The 15,470-nt window shown below is 43.4% G+C and overlaps 1 protein-coding gene across 4 annotated transcripts in view, besides 1 other annotated feature; it reads left to right on the forward strand.

The window, feature by feature from the left end:
- ARK2N (arkadia (RNF111) N-terminal like PKA signaling regulator 2N) overlaps positions 1–15,470 on the forward strand; it is a 93,440-nt gene that overhangs the window by 18,663 nt on the left and 59,307 nt on the right. The gene's annotated exons all lie outside the window — the stretch shown is intronic.
- Positions 1,231–1,320: an enhancer, noted in NCBI's record as "active region_13276". NCBI's record gives its function as "activates an Ori minimal core promoter by ATAC-STARR-seq in GM12878 lymphoblastoid cells {active_cell/tissue: GM12878}" and the evidence as "EXISTENCE:reporter gene assay evidence [ECO:0000049][PMID:35858748]".

Genomic DNA, 15,470 nt, shown 5'->3' on the forward strand with positions numbered 1-15,470 from the left:
TACAGCTCATTATTATAGGATGTAGTGGTAGGTAGGATTTGCTGTAGAGCAGAGAGTGATTAAGAATGTGGACTCTGGCTGGGTGAGGTGGCTCACGCCTGTAATCCCAGCAATATGGGAGGCTAAGGTGGGCAGATCACAAGGTCAGGAGTTCGAGACCAGCCTGGCCAATATGGTGAAACCCCGTCTTTACTAAAAATACAAAAAAAAAATTATCTGGGCGTGGTGGTGCATGCCTGTAATCCCAGCTACTCAGGAGGCTGAGGCAGAAGAATTGCTTGAACCCGGGAGGTGGAGGTTGCAGTGAGCTGAGATCATGCCACTGCATTCCAGCCTGGCGACAGAGCAAGACTCCATCTCAATTTTTTTTTTTTGAGACAGAGTCTTGCTCTGTCGCCCACGCCGGAGTGATGTGATCTCGTCTCACTGCATTCTCTGCCTCCCAGGTTCAAGCGATTCTCCTGCCTCAGTCTCCCAAGTAGAGTAGCTGGGACTACAGGCCCGCCACCATGCCTGGCTAATTTTTGTATTTTTAGTTGAGATGGGGTTTCACTATGTTGGCCAGGCTGGTCTTGAACTCCTGACCTCAAATAATTCTCCCACCTTGGCCTCCCAAAGTCTTGGGATTACAGCAGACGTGAGCCGCTACGCCCGGCTGAGACTGTCTCAAAAAAAAAAAAAAAAGAATGTGGACTCTGGGGCCAGGTGCAGTGGCTCACGCCTGGAATCCCAGGACTTTGGGAGGCTGAGGTGGGCAGATTACCTTAGGTCAGAAGTTTGAGACCAGTCTGGCCAAATAGTGAAACTGGGCATGGTGGCACGTTCCTATAGTCCCAGCTACTTGGGAGACTGAGGCAGGAGAATTGCTTGAACCTGGGCAGTGGAGGTTGCAAGTGAGCTGAGATTGCACCACTGCACTACAGCCTGGGCAACAGAGTGAGACTCTGTCTCAAAACAAACAAACAAAGAATGTAAGAATGTGGACTCTGGAATGACTTTATTTAAAATCCTGACTCTACAGTACTACCTACAGCATTGGCAGTATTGGTTCTGTGAGTTCATGCAGATTCCCCACCCCTGCTTTTTTTTTAGAGGTGGAGTTTCGCCCTTGTCACCCAGGCTGGAGTGCAATGGCATGATCTCGGCTCACGGCAACCTCCACCTCCAGGGTTCAAGTGATTCACCTGCCTCAGCCTCCCGAGTAGCTGGGATTACAGGCATGTGTCAGCATGCTCAGCTAATTTTGTATTTTTAGTAGAGATGGGGTTTCACCACGTTGGTCAGGCTGGTCTTGAACTTCTGACCTCAAGTGATCCACCCACCTCGGCCTCCCAAAGTGCTGGCATTACAGGTGTGAGCCACTGCGCCCAGCCGGGTTTTTTTTTTTTTTTTTTTTTTTTAATGACAGAGTCTTGCTCTGTCACCCAGGCTGCAGTGCAGTGGTGCAGTCTCAGCTCACTGCAACCTGCACTTCCTGGGTTCAAGCTATTCTTGTGTCTCAGTCTCCTGAGTAGCTGGGATTACAAGTGCATGCCAACACGCCTGGCTGATTTTTGTATTTTTTGTAGAGATGGGGTTTCGCCATGTTGGCCAGACTGGTCTTGAACTCCTGGCCTCAAGTGATCTGCCCACCTTGGCCTCCCAAAGTGCTGGGATTACATGCGTGAGCCACGGTGCGGGTCCCCTAACCTTATATTGTAGTGGATATTTACACACCTTTAAATTAGCTCAAATGAAACTTTGAAATCTCTTCTTGGGTTTTAAGTTCAGTGCCCCTAACTTTTCTTGTTTGTTTCTTTCTTTTTTAAGAGACAGTGTTGCTCAGTTGCCCAGGCCAGAGTGCAAAGGCTCACTGCCACATCCAACTCCTGGGCTCAAGCAGTCCTTCTACATGCCTGGCTAATTTTTAAATTTTTTGTATAGATGGGGTCTGGCTATGTTTCCCAGGCTGGTCTCAAACTCCTTGACTTAAGCAGTTCTCCTGCGTTGGCCTCCCAAGGCTCTGGGATTACAGGTGTCCACCACCATGCCTGGCCCTCTGGTTTCTTTTGATTTTTCCCATGTCTTTCCTGTTATGGAGGGGAGGTTTAAGATTCTTTAATAGGCCAGGTGCGGGGGCTCACGCCTGTAATCCCAGCACCTTGGGAGGCCGAGGCGGATGGATCACGAGTTCAGGAGTTCAAGACCAGCCTGGCCAACATGGTGGAACCCCATCTCTACTAAAAGGAGCTATTACAGAATCTTTTTTTTGTTTTTTTTTTTGTTTGTTTTTTTTGAGACGGAGTCTCGCTGTGTCACGCAGGCTGGAGTGCAATGGCATGGTCTCGGCTCACTGCAGCCTCCGCCTCCTGGGTTCAAGTGATTTCTCCTGCCTCAGTCTCCTGAGTAGCTGGGACTACAGGCGTGTGCCACCATGCCTGGCTAATTTTTTTTTATTTTTAGTAGAGACGGGGTTCCACCATGTTGACCAGGCTGGTCTTGTACTCCTGACCTCGTGATCCACCAGCCTTGGCCTCCCAAAGTGCTGGGATTACAGGTGTGAGCCACCGCGACCGGATTCTTGTTTTTATTTAAATTTAAATTTAATTAATTTTTTTTTTTTTTTTGAGATAGAGTCTCATTCTGTGGTCCAGGCTGGAGTACAGTGGTGTGATCTTGACTCACTGCAACCTCCACCTCCTGTGTTCAAGCGATTCTGCCTCAGCCACCAGAGTACCTGGGACTACAGGTGTGTGCTACCACGCCTGGCTAATTTTTTGTAGTTTTAGTAGTGACGGGGTTTCGCCATGTTGACTAGGCTGGTCTCGAACTCCTGGCCTCAAGTGATTCAGCTGCCTTGGCCTCCCAAAGTACTGTATTTACAGGCATGAGCCACCATGCCTGGCCTCAAATATATTTTCAAAGACTTTAAAATATACACAGAGATGTGTAATAATGATTCCCTGTGTACCTACTTATTACACAGTTTCAATAATTATCCACATTTTGCCATTTGTTTTTGGTTATGCTTTCTGCTTTCATTAATTTTTTCCTAAATTCTTTTATTTAACCTTTTTTTTTTTTTTTTTTTTGAGATAGAACCTCACTCAGTTGCCCAGGCTGGAGTGCAGTGTTTCGATCATAGCTTACTACAGCCTGGAATTTCTGGGAGCAAGCAATCCTGCCTCAGTCTCCCAGGTAGCAAGGACCACAGATGTGCACTGTCATTCCCATTGTAGAGATGGGGCCTCATGATGTTACCCAGGCTGGTCTCAAACTCCTGGGCTTAAGCAGTCCTCCTGCCTTGGCCTCCCAAAGTGCTGGAATTACAGCTTGAGCCACCACGCCTTGCATCCCACATAAACTTTTTTTTTTTTTTTTTTTTTTTTTTTTTTTTTTTGAGGGGGAGTCTTGCTCTGTCACCCAGGCTGGAGTGCAGTGGCACGATCTGGACTCACTGCAGCCTCCGCCTCCTGAGTTCAAGCAGTCCTCCTCCTTAGCCTCCAAAGTAGCTGGGATTACAAGTGTGTGCCACCACACCTGGCTGATTTTTGTATTTTTAGTAGAGACAGAGCTTCGCCATGTTGGCCAAGCTGGTCTCGAACTCCTGACCTCAAGTGATCTACCTGCTTCAGCCTCTTAAAATGCTGGTATTATAGGCATGAGCCACTGTGCCTGGTCCAGATAAACTTTTGAAGAAACCCAACCATTATACCATTGTCATCTGCAACAATTAACAATAATAATATAAAATAATTTACTGTCTAGTCTGTGTTTACTTTTTCTTTTTCTTTTTTTTTTTTGAGACAGAGTTTCACTTTTGCTGCCCAGGCTGGAGTGCAGTGGTGCGATCTCGGCTCACAGCAACCTCTGCCTCCCGGGTTCAAGCGATTCTCCTGCCTCAGCCTCCGGAGTAGCTGGGATTACAGGCATGCGCCACCACGCCCAGCTAATTTTGTATTTTTAGTAGAGATGGGGTTTCTCCATGTTGGTCAGGCTGGTCTTGAACTCCGGACCTCAGGTGATCCACCCGCCTCGGCCTCCCAAAGTGCTGGGATTACAGGCGTGAGCCACCGTGCCCGGCCAAGACGGAGTCTCGCTCTGTCGCCCAGGATAGAGTGCAGTGGCGTGATCTCGGCTCACTGCAAGCTCTGCCTGCCGGGTTCATTCCATTCTCCTGCCTCAGCCTCCCGAGTAGCTGGGACTACAGGCGCCTGCCACCACGCCCTGCTAATTTTTTGCATTTTTAGTAGAGACAGGGTTTCACCATGTTAGCCAGGATGGTCTTGATCTCCTGACCTCGTGATCCACCCGCCTCGGCCTCCCAAAGTGCTGGGATTACAGGTGTGAACCACCTTGCCTGGCCGAGTTGTAAATGTTAAGCCTATTTTGCATTTGTAAGATAATACCACTTGTATTTTTGTACCTATTGTTGCATAAAAATTGTCCCAAAATTTAGTGGGGTGATATTAGCAATAAACGTTATCATTTCAGCATCTGAGAGTCAGATATTTAGGAGCAACTAACTAGTTGGTCAATTATGACTTTATGAGATTACAGTCAGGTTGTCAGCTTGAGGCTTCAGTTATTTGTAGACCTGATGGGCTGGAGGATCCATTTGCAAGGTGACTCACTCACATGGCTGGCAAGATAGTATTGGCTTTTAGTGGAAACCTCAGATTCTTTCCATTTGAACCTCTCCAAGAGTGCCCTCATGGAATGGTGGCTGGTGTCTCCCAAAGGGAGCAATCCTAGAGAGAGAAGTGAGAAGAAAGAGAGCAAAGCATGTCAGGTGGTAACTGTCTTCTTTATAACCTCATCTTGGAAATCATAGAACATTACTTCTGCCGTCTTCTATTATTAGAAGCAAGCCATCAAGTCCAGCCTGCATTCGAGGGAGGAGAATTAAGGTCACCCTTTTGAAGGGAGGAACATTAAAGAATTTGTGAACAGATAAAAAAAGATTTTAGCTTGTGTTTTGTGGCCATGAGTTATTTACATTTTTCCACATGCCAGATATACTTAACTCCCAAGATTGCCCAAAAGTCGTGTCCCTTTCTTTTTTTTTTGAGACAGAGTCTGGAGTCTGGAGTGCAGTGGTGCAATCATGGCTCACTGCAACCTCTGCCTCCCAGGTTCAAGCGATTGTCCTGCCTTAGCCTCCCTAGTAGCTGGGATTACAGGTGCCCACCACTACGCCAGCTAATTTTTGTATTTTTAGTAGAAACGGGGTTTCACCGTGTTGGCCAGGTTTGTCTCGAACTCCTGACCTTAAGGGATCCACCCACCTTGGCCTCCCAAAGTGCTGGGATTACAGGCGTGAGCCACCACGCCTAGCCAAAGTCTTCTCTCTTTACAGCATTTAATTAAGTCCAAGTACGGCTGAAGCTTCTCTGGTGAGGTTCCTTGAATGTAGTTCCTTGATGAATACAGTTTCATTTGATCTGAAGACCTGTGAACCACAGAGAGAACTTACCTGCTCCTGTATATATACCCAACATATAATAGCCAGTTAGTCGTTGGATAACATCTGTAGACTCTCTTTTCAAAAAGGGGAAAGCAAGAAGTACACTGGAGTCACTGATATAAATAGCATTTCTGAAATCCAGGAGGACGTGTGTTGGTAGTTCCTTGATTAGGACTTATGATTCTGCATGATGTACTTTCACCTCTTTTATATTTTCCATCTCATATTTTTTGTATGCCGTTATGGGTATTTTCTTCAAATCTGTCTTTTAGTTTGCTAGTTTTCTTTTTAGCTGTGTGTAATCTGTTACTTAACCTGCCCAGTTTTTCCTACGATATTTCCATTTTTGAAAATTGTGGGCCAGGTGTGGTGGCTCACGCCTATAATCCCAGCACTGTGGGAGGCTGAGGTGGCTGGATCACTTGAGGTCGGGAGTTCAAAACCGGCCTCACCAACATGGTGAAACACTGTCTCTACTAAAAATACAAAAGTTAGCCGGGTATGGTGGTGGCGCCTGTAGTCCCAGCTACCTGGGAAGCTGAGGCACGAGAATCACAGAATCACTTGAACCCGGGAGGTGGAGGTTGCAGTGAGCCGAGATCGCCCCCACTGCACTCCAGTATGGATGACTGAACCAGACTCCATCTCCAAAAAAAAAAAAAAAAAAAAAAAGAAGCTTGACTCTTTTTTAAATTTAATTTTTAATAGTTACATTGTAATGCAGTTTTGAAAGATTTTTACATTGGTCCATAAAACGAAGAACTATGAGACAATATTATAAAAAGTTCATTCTCCCATTTTGATTCTCTACCTTTCACCTTCCTACTTTTCACAAGTAAGAATTACTAATTTCTTGTTTCCTTATAGATTTTTAAAATACGCAAATGTAGGTAGATTTTCTTCCCTCATGTTTTATACAAATACCATATTGTACCCACTTGTCTTTTTTCTTTTTTGAGATGGAGTTTTGGTCTGTTGTCCAGGCTGGAGTGCAGTGGTGCATCTCGGCTCACTGCAACCTCCACCTCCCGGGTTCAAGTGATTCTCCTGCCTCAGCCTCCCAAGTAGCTGGGACTACAGGCGTGCACCATCACACCTGGCTAATTTTTGTATTTTAAGTAGAGATGGGGTTTCACTATGTTGGCCAGGTTGGTCTCGAACTCCTGACCTTGTGATCCACCTGCCTCGGCCTCCCAAAGTGCTGGGATTACGGATGTGAGCCACTGTGCCCAGCCTTTTTCCTTCTTAAAAATGGACCCTGGAGATCATTTCTAATATAGAAAAGAGTTCCTCATTCATAGTCCTTTTGTAGCTTAGTTTTGTCATGATAATCATAAACCTACATCTATAGTCCAGCTAGAATTGGAAGATGAGATGGGAAATATGGAACCCATAGAATTACAGCAAATGAGCACGCAAAGATTATGGATTTTAAAGCAGTCTGGGAGTAAATGAGATAAAACAAAATTAAATTTGAAACTTGCCCTCAGTCAATATTTAAGACCTTCTTGCTTGTTTTGCACCTCTATCTTAACTTTCACAGTATTCATGCCATCTTTTACCTTTCCATGGTGGGCTTATATGTTATTTCAGGCTGAACTACATTTCCTAGAAACTCCTTTCCTGTATCTTTCTTTTTAATTTTTAAAAATTATTTTATTTTATTTTTTTGAGATGGAATCTCTCGCTGTTGCCCAGGCTGGAGTGCAGTGGAGTGATCTCGGCTCAGTGCAACCTCTGTCTCCTGGCTTCAAGCGATTCTTCCTGCCTCAGTCTCCTGAGTAGCTGGAACTACAAGTGTGTGCCACCACACCCAGCTCATTTTTTTTTTTTTTTTTTTTTTTTAGTAGAGGTGGGGTTTCACCATGTTGGCCAGGCTGGTCTTGAACTCCTGACCTCAAGTGATCCACCCGCCTCAGCCTCCCAAAATGCTGTGATTACACTTTCCTGTGTCTTTCTTGTAAGGTTGGGCACAAGAGAGATTACTGTAGGAGATTTGGAGAGTGGCCATTTTGTTGTTTACATACATTGTTGCTTATCTGTTGAGTCACCTCACTTCTTTGTAGTGAAGCAGCTTATGGGACTGCAACTGTTTAACTCTCCCCTAGATCTCCTTCCCAATCTTCTTCAGCTCTGCTGACTCCTGGGCCAGGTATATGTTTAGCTGTTTGACAAAGAGGTTTGGTTCTATAGGACATCTATACCATCAAGGTTAGAGGCAACAAGAACTAATACAGAGTTCAGTTTGTCCTGTGGACTTAAGCTTGTGTGTGTGATTTCTAGCTCGTTGTTTCTTGCTCTCTCCTACTTGTTCTCTGCCACATCCATCTTTCTGTCTCACCTGCGGCCCTGTGGATTTTAAGCGCCAGCATCAGATGCAGATAGCCTTACAGAAAATTCTTTATTGTGTGTGTGTGTGTGTGTGTGTGTGCGCGCGCGTGCTGGGGGCAGAGGGTGTATTTTTAAGACCTGGTGGTTCTGTTTCTCTGACCAAACCTGAATTATTCATTTTTCCGAAAGACCACATTTGCTATCTATCTAATCAATCAATTTTATCAGTTTATGGAAACTGGGAGTCATTTATACTGAGTTCAGGATTTGCCAGGGACAAGATGTCAGATGTCACAGGTTACAGTTTTTTTGTTTGTTCGTTTGTTTTTTTTTAAGACAGAGTCTTGCTCTGTCACCCAGGCTGGAGCGCAGTGGCGCAATCTTGGCTCACTGCAACCTCTGCCTTCCGGGTTCAAGCGATTCTCCTGCCTCAGCCTCCTCAGTAGCTGGGATTACAGGCACGTGCCACCACGCCCAGCTAATTTTTGTGTTTTTAGTAGAAATGGGGTTTCACTATGTTGGCCAGGCTGGGCTCAAACTCCTGACCTCATGATCCGCCCGCCTCAGCCTCCCAAAGTGCTGAGATTACAGATGTGAGCCACCGCACCTGGCCAGGATGGGGTTTTTATGGTTGGGCTTTGGCACAGGTAGGGCAGCTGAAGTCTGGCTGTAGGTAGCAGTATCCATGAAGTGGCTTCTTATTCATTTCTACAGCTGCAAAGCATTGCATTGGAACTCTGGATGTTTTTTAGCATTTGTTGTCATTGTCCCTGCTCATTTTGATTACATCATTTTTTTTTTGAGACAGTGACACTAATGCAGCAGTTATTTGAGAATATCTTATTTCATCCTTAACTAAAGTGCCTAGCTCATGCTAACTACACACAAATAAATGCCTTTTCTGTGTTGAATGCCTTTTCTGTGCTACAAATACATGGGTGCTAGTAGGGCACTACTACGATTTTGATTACATCATTTTCTTTTTTCTTTTTTTTTTTTTTTTTTGAGACAGGGTCTTGCTCTGTCACCCAGGCTGGAGTGCAGTAGTATGATCACAGCTCACTGCATCCTCAACCTCCTGGTTCAAGTGATCCTCCTACCTCAGCCTCCCGAATAGCTGGGACCACAGGTGCATGCCACCATGTCCTGCTAATTTTCAAAATATTTTTTTGTAGATATAGGATCTCCTTATATTGCCCAAGCTGGTCTTGAACTCTTGAGCTCAAGAGATCCTTCCTTACCTTGGCCTCCCAAAGTGCTAGGATTGCAAACGTGATCTACTATGCCTGACCTTGGTTTTGTTTTGTTTTTTAATTTTGAAATACTTTTCATATAGGCTTTCAAAAAAATATGTGTAGGATGATTCCTTGCGGGTTTGAATATGTATTTGTAGTTTCAACAGACTCTGTGAAGTAGACTTGTTTTTTTGTCCATTTTGGACTTTTTTTTGTCCTATAAACTCTATTTGGTTAAATTTATGTGGTGGAGATTCTGAGATCCTAGGGTGACGATGCTTTCCTTCATTGCGGATTTCTTTGCTTTTTCAGGGTTTCTTGACCACATGGACAGTGTAAATTTGAATTCTAGATCCAAGTAATAATAAGGAAGTAGTATCAAATTTTCTGAGTTCTGATCTCCCAGCATTGACCTACAAGTTTCTTGGTAAGCCCTCTGTTGGCAGGTGTTTTTTTTCCCCTAGATCTCCCTTTCACTAGCGGTATAAGCTACTGTGAGAGTCCCAACTCATGGCAGGAATATCAGATCTAGTTTTCTTTTCTTTTCTTTTCTTTTTTTTTTTTTTTTAAGACCGAGTCTCACTCTGTTACCCAGGCTGGAGTGCAGTGGAGTGATCTCGGCTCACTGCAACCTCTGCCTCCTGGGTTCAAGCGATTCTCCTCCTTCAGCCTCCTGAGTAGCTGGGATTACAGGCGGGCGCCATTACGCCTGGCTAATTTTTGTATTTTTGGTAGAGATGGGGTTTCGCCATGTTGGCCGAGATGGTCTCGAACTCCTGACCTCAGGTGGTCCACCTTCCTCAGCCTCCCAAAGTGCTGGGATTACAGGCATGAGCCACCATGCCTGGCCTAGATCTAGTTTTCTTAACTTTGCCCTGGCCTAAAGCTTAATCTTCTGTTCTCAAACTAGTATGGTATTTGCTCCCAGGACAACTCTAGTATTTCTAGGTTGTTTTATGTCCAATTTTTAGCTCACTGTTGTGTCTGTTGGGAGGTACACTTTGAGTTTCTCTTACTTTGTTGATAGTTCACAAAATATTAAAAATGTTGCAATTTCCTCAGGATCTGATTGCCCTTTTTGGGTAGCATGCACACTAGCTGAAAAGTGTCCTACTAGCACCCATGTACTTGTAGCATAGAAAAGGCATTCAACATAGGAAAGGCATTTATTTGTGTGTAGTTAGCATGAGCTAGGCACTTTACTTAAGGATGAAATAAGATATTCTCAAATAACTGCTGCATTAGTGTCATTGGAGGGATTATAGAGAAGGAAGAGACTATATTTGTTTGAAGAGATTGTGTAGACTATATTTGTGTGGAGAGGCTGAGGAAGTTGGATCACCTGAGGTCAGGAGTTTGAGACCAGCCTGACCAACGTAGCGAAACCCCGTCTCTACTAAAAATACAAAAATTAGCTGGGCGTAGTGGCGGGTGCCTGTAATCCCGGCTACTCAGAAGGCTGAAGGAGGAGAATCGCTTGAACCCGGGAGGCAGAGGTTGCAGTGAGCAGAGATCGCTCCACTGCATTCCAGCCTGGGCAACAGAGTGAGACTCGGTCGCAAAAAAATAAAAATTAAAAAAAAAAAAAAGAAAGAAAAGAAAACTAGATCTGATATTCCTGCCCATTTCTTTTCTGTTGGAGACTGAAATAGAAATATGTAGATCATGTATCTTCTAGATATGATGGACTTGGAGAGAATACTGTTTTACTTCCACCAGAATGACTAAAATAAATGCCTGAAACAAACAAAAAACCAACCATGCTAGTGTTGGTAAAGCATGAAAAAAACAGAGACTCTCAGACATTGTTGGCAGGAGGACAAATTGATGGAAGCATTTGGGAAAACTTTCTAGTAAAGCTGAACATAAGCATATTCTATGACTTAATCTAGGAGTTGTATTAACTCCTGGGTATATATACAACAGAAACATGTGCAAACGTGCACAAGAAGACATGTATGAAACTTTTCATGAATGCGTTGCTCATGATGTCCCAAACTGAAAAAATGACAAATGTCTATCAAGAGTAGAATGGATAGATAAATTGTGATATAGTTATACAGTGGAATACTTTGCAGTGATGAAAATAAGCTGCTGTTGCATACTGTTGCATGGATGAACCTGAGAGACATTGTTGAACTAAAGAAACTTGACACGAAAATAAAAGAACAGGCAAAATGATTTGTGATAAATGTCAAAAAGTGGTTACTTTTTAGGGTGGGTAGTGACTAGAGGGGACATGAGGGATGCTTCTGGGGTGTTGGGAATGTTCTGTATATGGTCATTACGTGGATATGTTCATTTTATATAAATGTGTCAGGATGCACACTTAACGATGTGCATTTCTGTGTGGTAATACTACAATCAAATTTTTCTTAAGGTTTTTTTTTGAGACAAAGTCTCACTCTTGTCCAGGCTGGAGTGCAAGGACACGATCTCAGCCTCTGCCTCCCAGGTTCAAGTGATTCTTGTGCCTCGCCTCCTGAGTAGCTGGGATTATAGGCATGCACTACCATGCCCAGCTAATTTTTGTATTTTTAGTAGAGATGGGGTTTTGCCATGTTGCCCAGGCTGGTCTCAAACTCCTGGGCTCAAGTGATCTGCCTGCCTCGGCCTCTCAAAGTACTGGGATTACAGGTGTGAGCCACCGCAACCCCCAAAAATGTTTAAGGAGTCTGACTGATTTGATTTAAAGAGCAGAGAACTCAGCCCCTAGTTTGTTTTTTAGTGGGCTCATATTCCTTTTGAAAATTTGTGGGCATAGATTGAGTTTTTACGGGGAGGGAAGTGGGTAGGAATTTAAATATTGAAGGTAAGAATAGACCTGCATGGAAGGTTGATCTGTAGTATGTGTCTTATAGACTTATTTTTATGTTCTTTTTTTTTTTTTTGGTCACAATTACAGAATTTTTAGTATCAATTTTATATAAAGTGAAAGACTGCAGTAATCTTAGAAAAAACTGTGATAAATTCTATTCAAAATACCTTGTTCTCTCATTCTCTCAAGGGAGATTGGTATATACCCTATCACTTGATATTGAAGCTAAATTAGATAAATAGCATAAGGTTTCCTGTTAGGCCCAGTCCTAGATTGCAAGGGAATCAACAGGATCACCTGTTAGGCTTTCTTTTTTCTTTTTTTGTAAGCCTGAATTTCTGTGACAGGGAAAGTACTATAGCCTCTTGTGTGCAAAGGCTTTGTTTTGTTAGCAAAACATTGACCTTCTTTAAAGTTGCCTTTCTTTTTTGGTCTAAGTAGAAAGCATTATTTAATTCAGTGTTGCTTTGTAAAATAAAGCAACATGGAATTCATGAATTATCTAATATTAATACTTTTGCATGTGGAGCAGCAATATAAGTTAACTGGTTCATGTAGACCGTATTTGAGGCATTAGCTGCTTGTGTTTCTTACAATTCTAGGTTGGTAATATAAAATAAATAGATGCAAGAATGCTAGCAGTTAGAATACCCTATTTTACATGAATGTAGAGGAAAATCTTACTTAGAAACGTATCATTTAATGGGCTGTGCTTTTGTCAGTTTATGGTGTCAACTTGTGGTTTCAACTGAAAAGGAAAAGGGCCTGTGGCAACAAAAAACTTGTAACAGCAGATGACTTTTGCATTCCTTACATTAGGAAGGACGATACAGTTTTAGTTTATTCGTTTTTTTTTTCCCTGCTTTCTTTTCTTTTCTTTTTTCTTTTTTTTTTTATTTTTTTTATTTTTTATTTTGAGACAGAGTCTTGCCCTGTCGCCCAGGCTGGAGTGCAGTGGTGCGATCTCGGCTCACTGCAACTTCTGCCTCCTAGCTGGGACTACAGGAACCCACGACCACGCCTGGCTAATTTTTTGTATTTTGGTAGAGACGGGTTTTTACCATGTTGCCCATGCTGGTCTCGAACTCCTGAGCTCAGGCAATCTGCCCGCCTCGGCCCCCCAAAGTGCTAGGATTGCAGGCGTGAGCCACTGTACCTGGCCTATTCATTTGTTTTAATGGGAGCATTATATCATTTTAGTGATGTTAAAGGATGGTTAATGATGGTTGTTCACAGGTAATACGGAAAGGGGTAAAAAGCAAGTCTTAGTTATATTGAGTGCTTAATGATTTTATGCATTGCTATGTCTAAATCTTCAGGAGGATTTCCGATAGTGCTTGGTCTTTGGTAAGATTCCATTAATCATGGTCCTTTCTTACAATCTGAGTCTACAGGAAGTTGTTAACAATCAAAAAAGCGCATTTCGAGAAGGAATGTTTTCTCTGTGTTTTACGGGTATGTCTTATTTCCCTCCAAAAATAATTCCTTGCCTATCCGTTTATATATGAAAACAATTGGTTCACATCTTTTGAACTTTAATTTCTGTTAAAGTCTCTTCTGTGTTCACTGTGGTTTTTCCCTGGATGAACTGATGTATTTAGCCATCATCTGTCCTTATACCAATGATGTCAAAATCTGTATTTCTATATTTTTGAGACCTGTGGGTTGTTTTGTTTTGTTTTATATTTTTGAGACAGGGTCTCATTCTGTTGCCCAGGCAGGCATTATTTAATTCAGTGGCACAGTCATGGCTCACTGCAGCCTTGACCCCGTGGGCTCACACCATCCTTCCACCTTAGCCTCCCTAGTAGCTGGTACTACAGGCATGTGCTACCATGCTCGGCTAATTTTTTTGTATTTTTTTTCTATAGGTGGGATTTTACCATGTTTCCCAGGCTGATTTTTAACTCCTGGACTGAAGCTACCCTCCCACCTCTGCCTCCCAAAGTGCTGGGATTACAGGCATGAGCCACTGCCCCCAGTAGAGACCTGTGTTATGAGGATTATCCAGTCCAAATCCAAGTTGATTATTTCTCTACCACCAAACTTTTTTTTTTCTTTTTTTTTCTTTGCTCTGTCTCCTAGGCTGGAGTGCAGTGCCATGATCATGGCTCACTGCAGCCTCAACCTCTGAGGCTCAAGTGATCTTCCCATCTCAGTTCCCTGAGTAGCTGAGACTACCAGCATGCACCATTACACACGGCTAGTTTTTTAATTTTTTGTAGATATGGAGTCTCACTATGTTTCCCAGGCTGGTCTGGAACTCCTGGCCTTAAGAGAGCCTCCCACCTCTACCTCCCAAAGTGCCGGGATTATAGGGGTGAGCCACTGCTTGGCTGTACCACCAAACTTTTTACTCTTCCTGTAGTCTACCTGTAGTCCCCCAAAGAGTGGTCTTCAGCCCCATTTTTTCTCTTTTAGAGAACTTCCCTGATCTGTGATGAAAACTTGTCTCCTCTCTCTTTAAAATATCTTCTCTCAAATCTGACTTTACTGATACTGTTTGATCTCATTTATGGGTAATTTAAATAATCATTTCATCTCAGACATTAAACACTAACTCTTTGAGAATCACTCAGCTGAGTTGTTGGGGATACTTAAAACACAGTCCTTGTTTTGTTTTTTTCCCCCTGCTATCAAACATTGAATTTATTACTTTTATCTTACCGTATGTTAGTACCTTTTAACCCACTTCTCTTCATTCTCCTCCTCTCTCTGCCATAGCCCTTTCTTTTATTTTTATTTTTTTGAGACAGGGCCTCACTCTGTCACCCAGGCTGGAGTGCAGTGGCATAATCACAGCTCACTGCGGTCTTGACCTCCCAGGCTCAAGCCATCTTCCCACCTCAGCCTCCCAAGTAGCTGGGCTGCAGGCATGCACCACCATGCCCAACTAATTTTTAATTTTTTTGTAGAGACAGGGTCTCACTGTGTTGCCCAGGCTGGTCTTGAACTCTTGGATTCAAGCAATCCTCCCACTTTGATTTCCCAAAGTGCTGGGATTATAGGCATGAGCCGCTGAACCTGGTCAATTCTTACTGATTTCAGTGTACACATAAGTGATCCTTCTGACGCTACTCAGTAAGTCATGTGAGGAACTCTCCTGTAAGATTTTGTCCACTACCTTACCTCAGTCACCTACTTCCATGGTTGTACCCTAACCAGTGCTTCTTGAACTATCCATTGTGAAGGACTAGTATATTTTTATTTCTAGTCCACTGTGGATTGATTATTTTATAACATATGATAAAAATTGATTACTAGGTAGCTGAAGTACTGATTTTGATTGTTGTAACAATATAAAGTTGCTCTAAGTTTCTCAGTAATTACTCAGTTTCTATACTTTTTTTTTTTTTTTTTTTGAGATGGAGTCTAGCTGTGTCACCCAGGCTGGAGTGCAGTGGTGTGGTCTCAGCTCACTGCAACTTCTGCCTTCTGGGTTCAAGCCATTCTCCCGTCTCAGCCTCCCGAGTAGCTGGGATTACAGGCGCATGCCACAGTGCCCGGCTAATTTTTGTATTTTCAGTAGAGACAGGGTTTCACCATGTTGGCTAGGCTGGTCTTGAACTCCTGACTTCATGATCCACCTGCCTTGGTGTCCCAAAGTGCTGGGATTACAGGCGTGAGCCACGGCGCCTGA

The sequence above is a fragment of the Homo sapiens genome, chromosome 18 (genome assembly GCF_000001405.40).
Source record: "Homo sapiens chromosome 18, GRCh38.p14 Primary Assembly".
NCBI classification, from domain to species: Eukaryota; Metazoa; Chordata; class Mammalia; order Primates; family Hominidae; genus Homo; species Homo sapiens.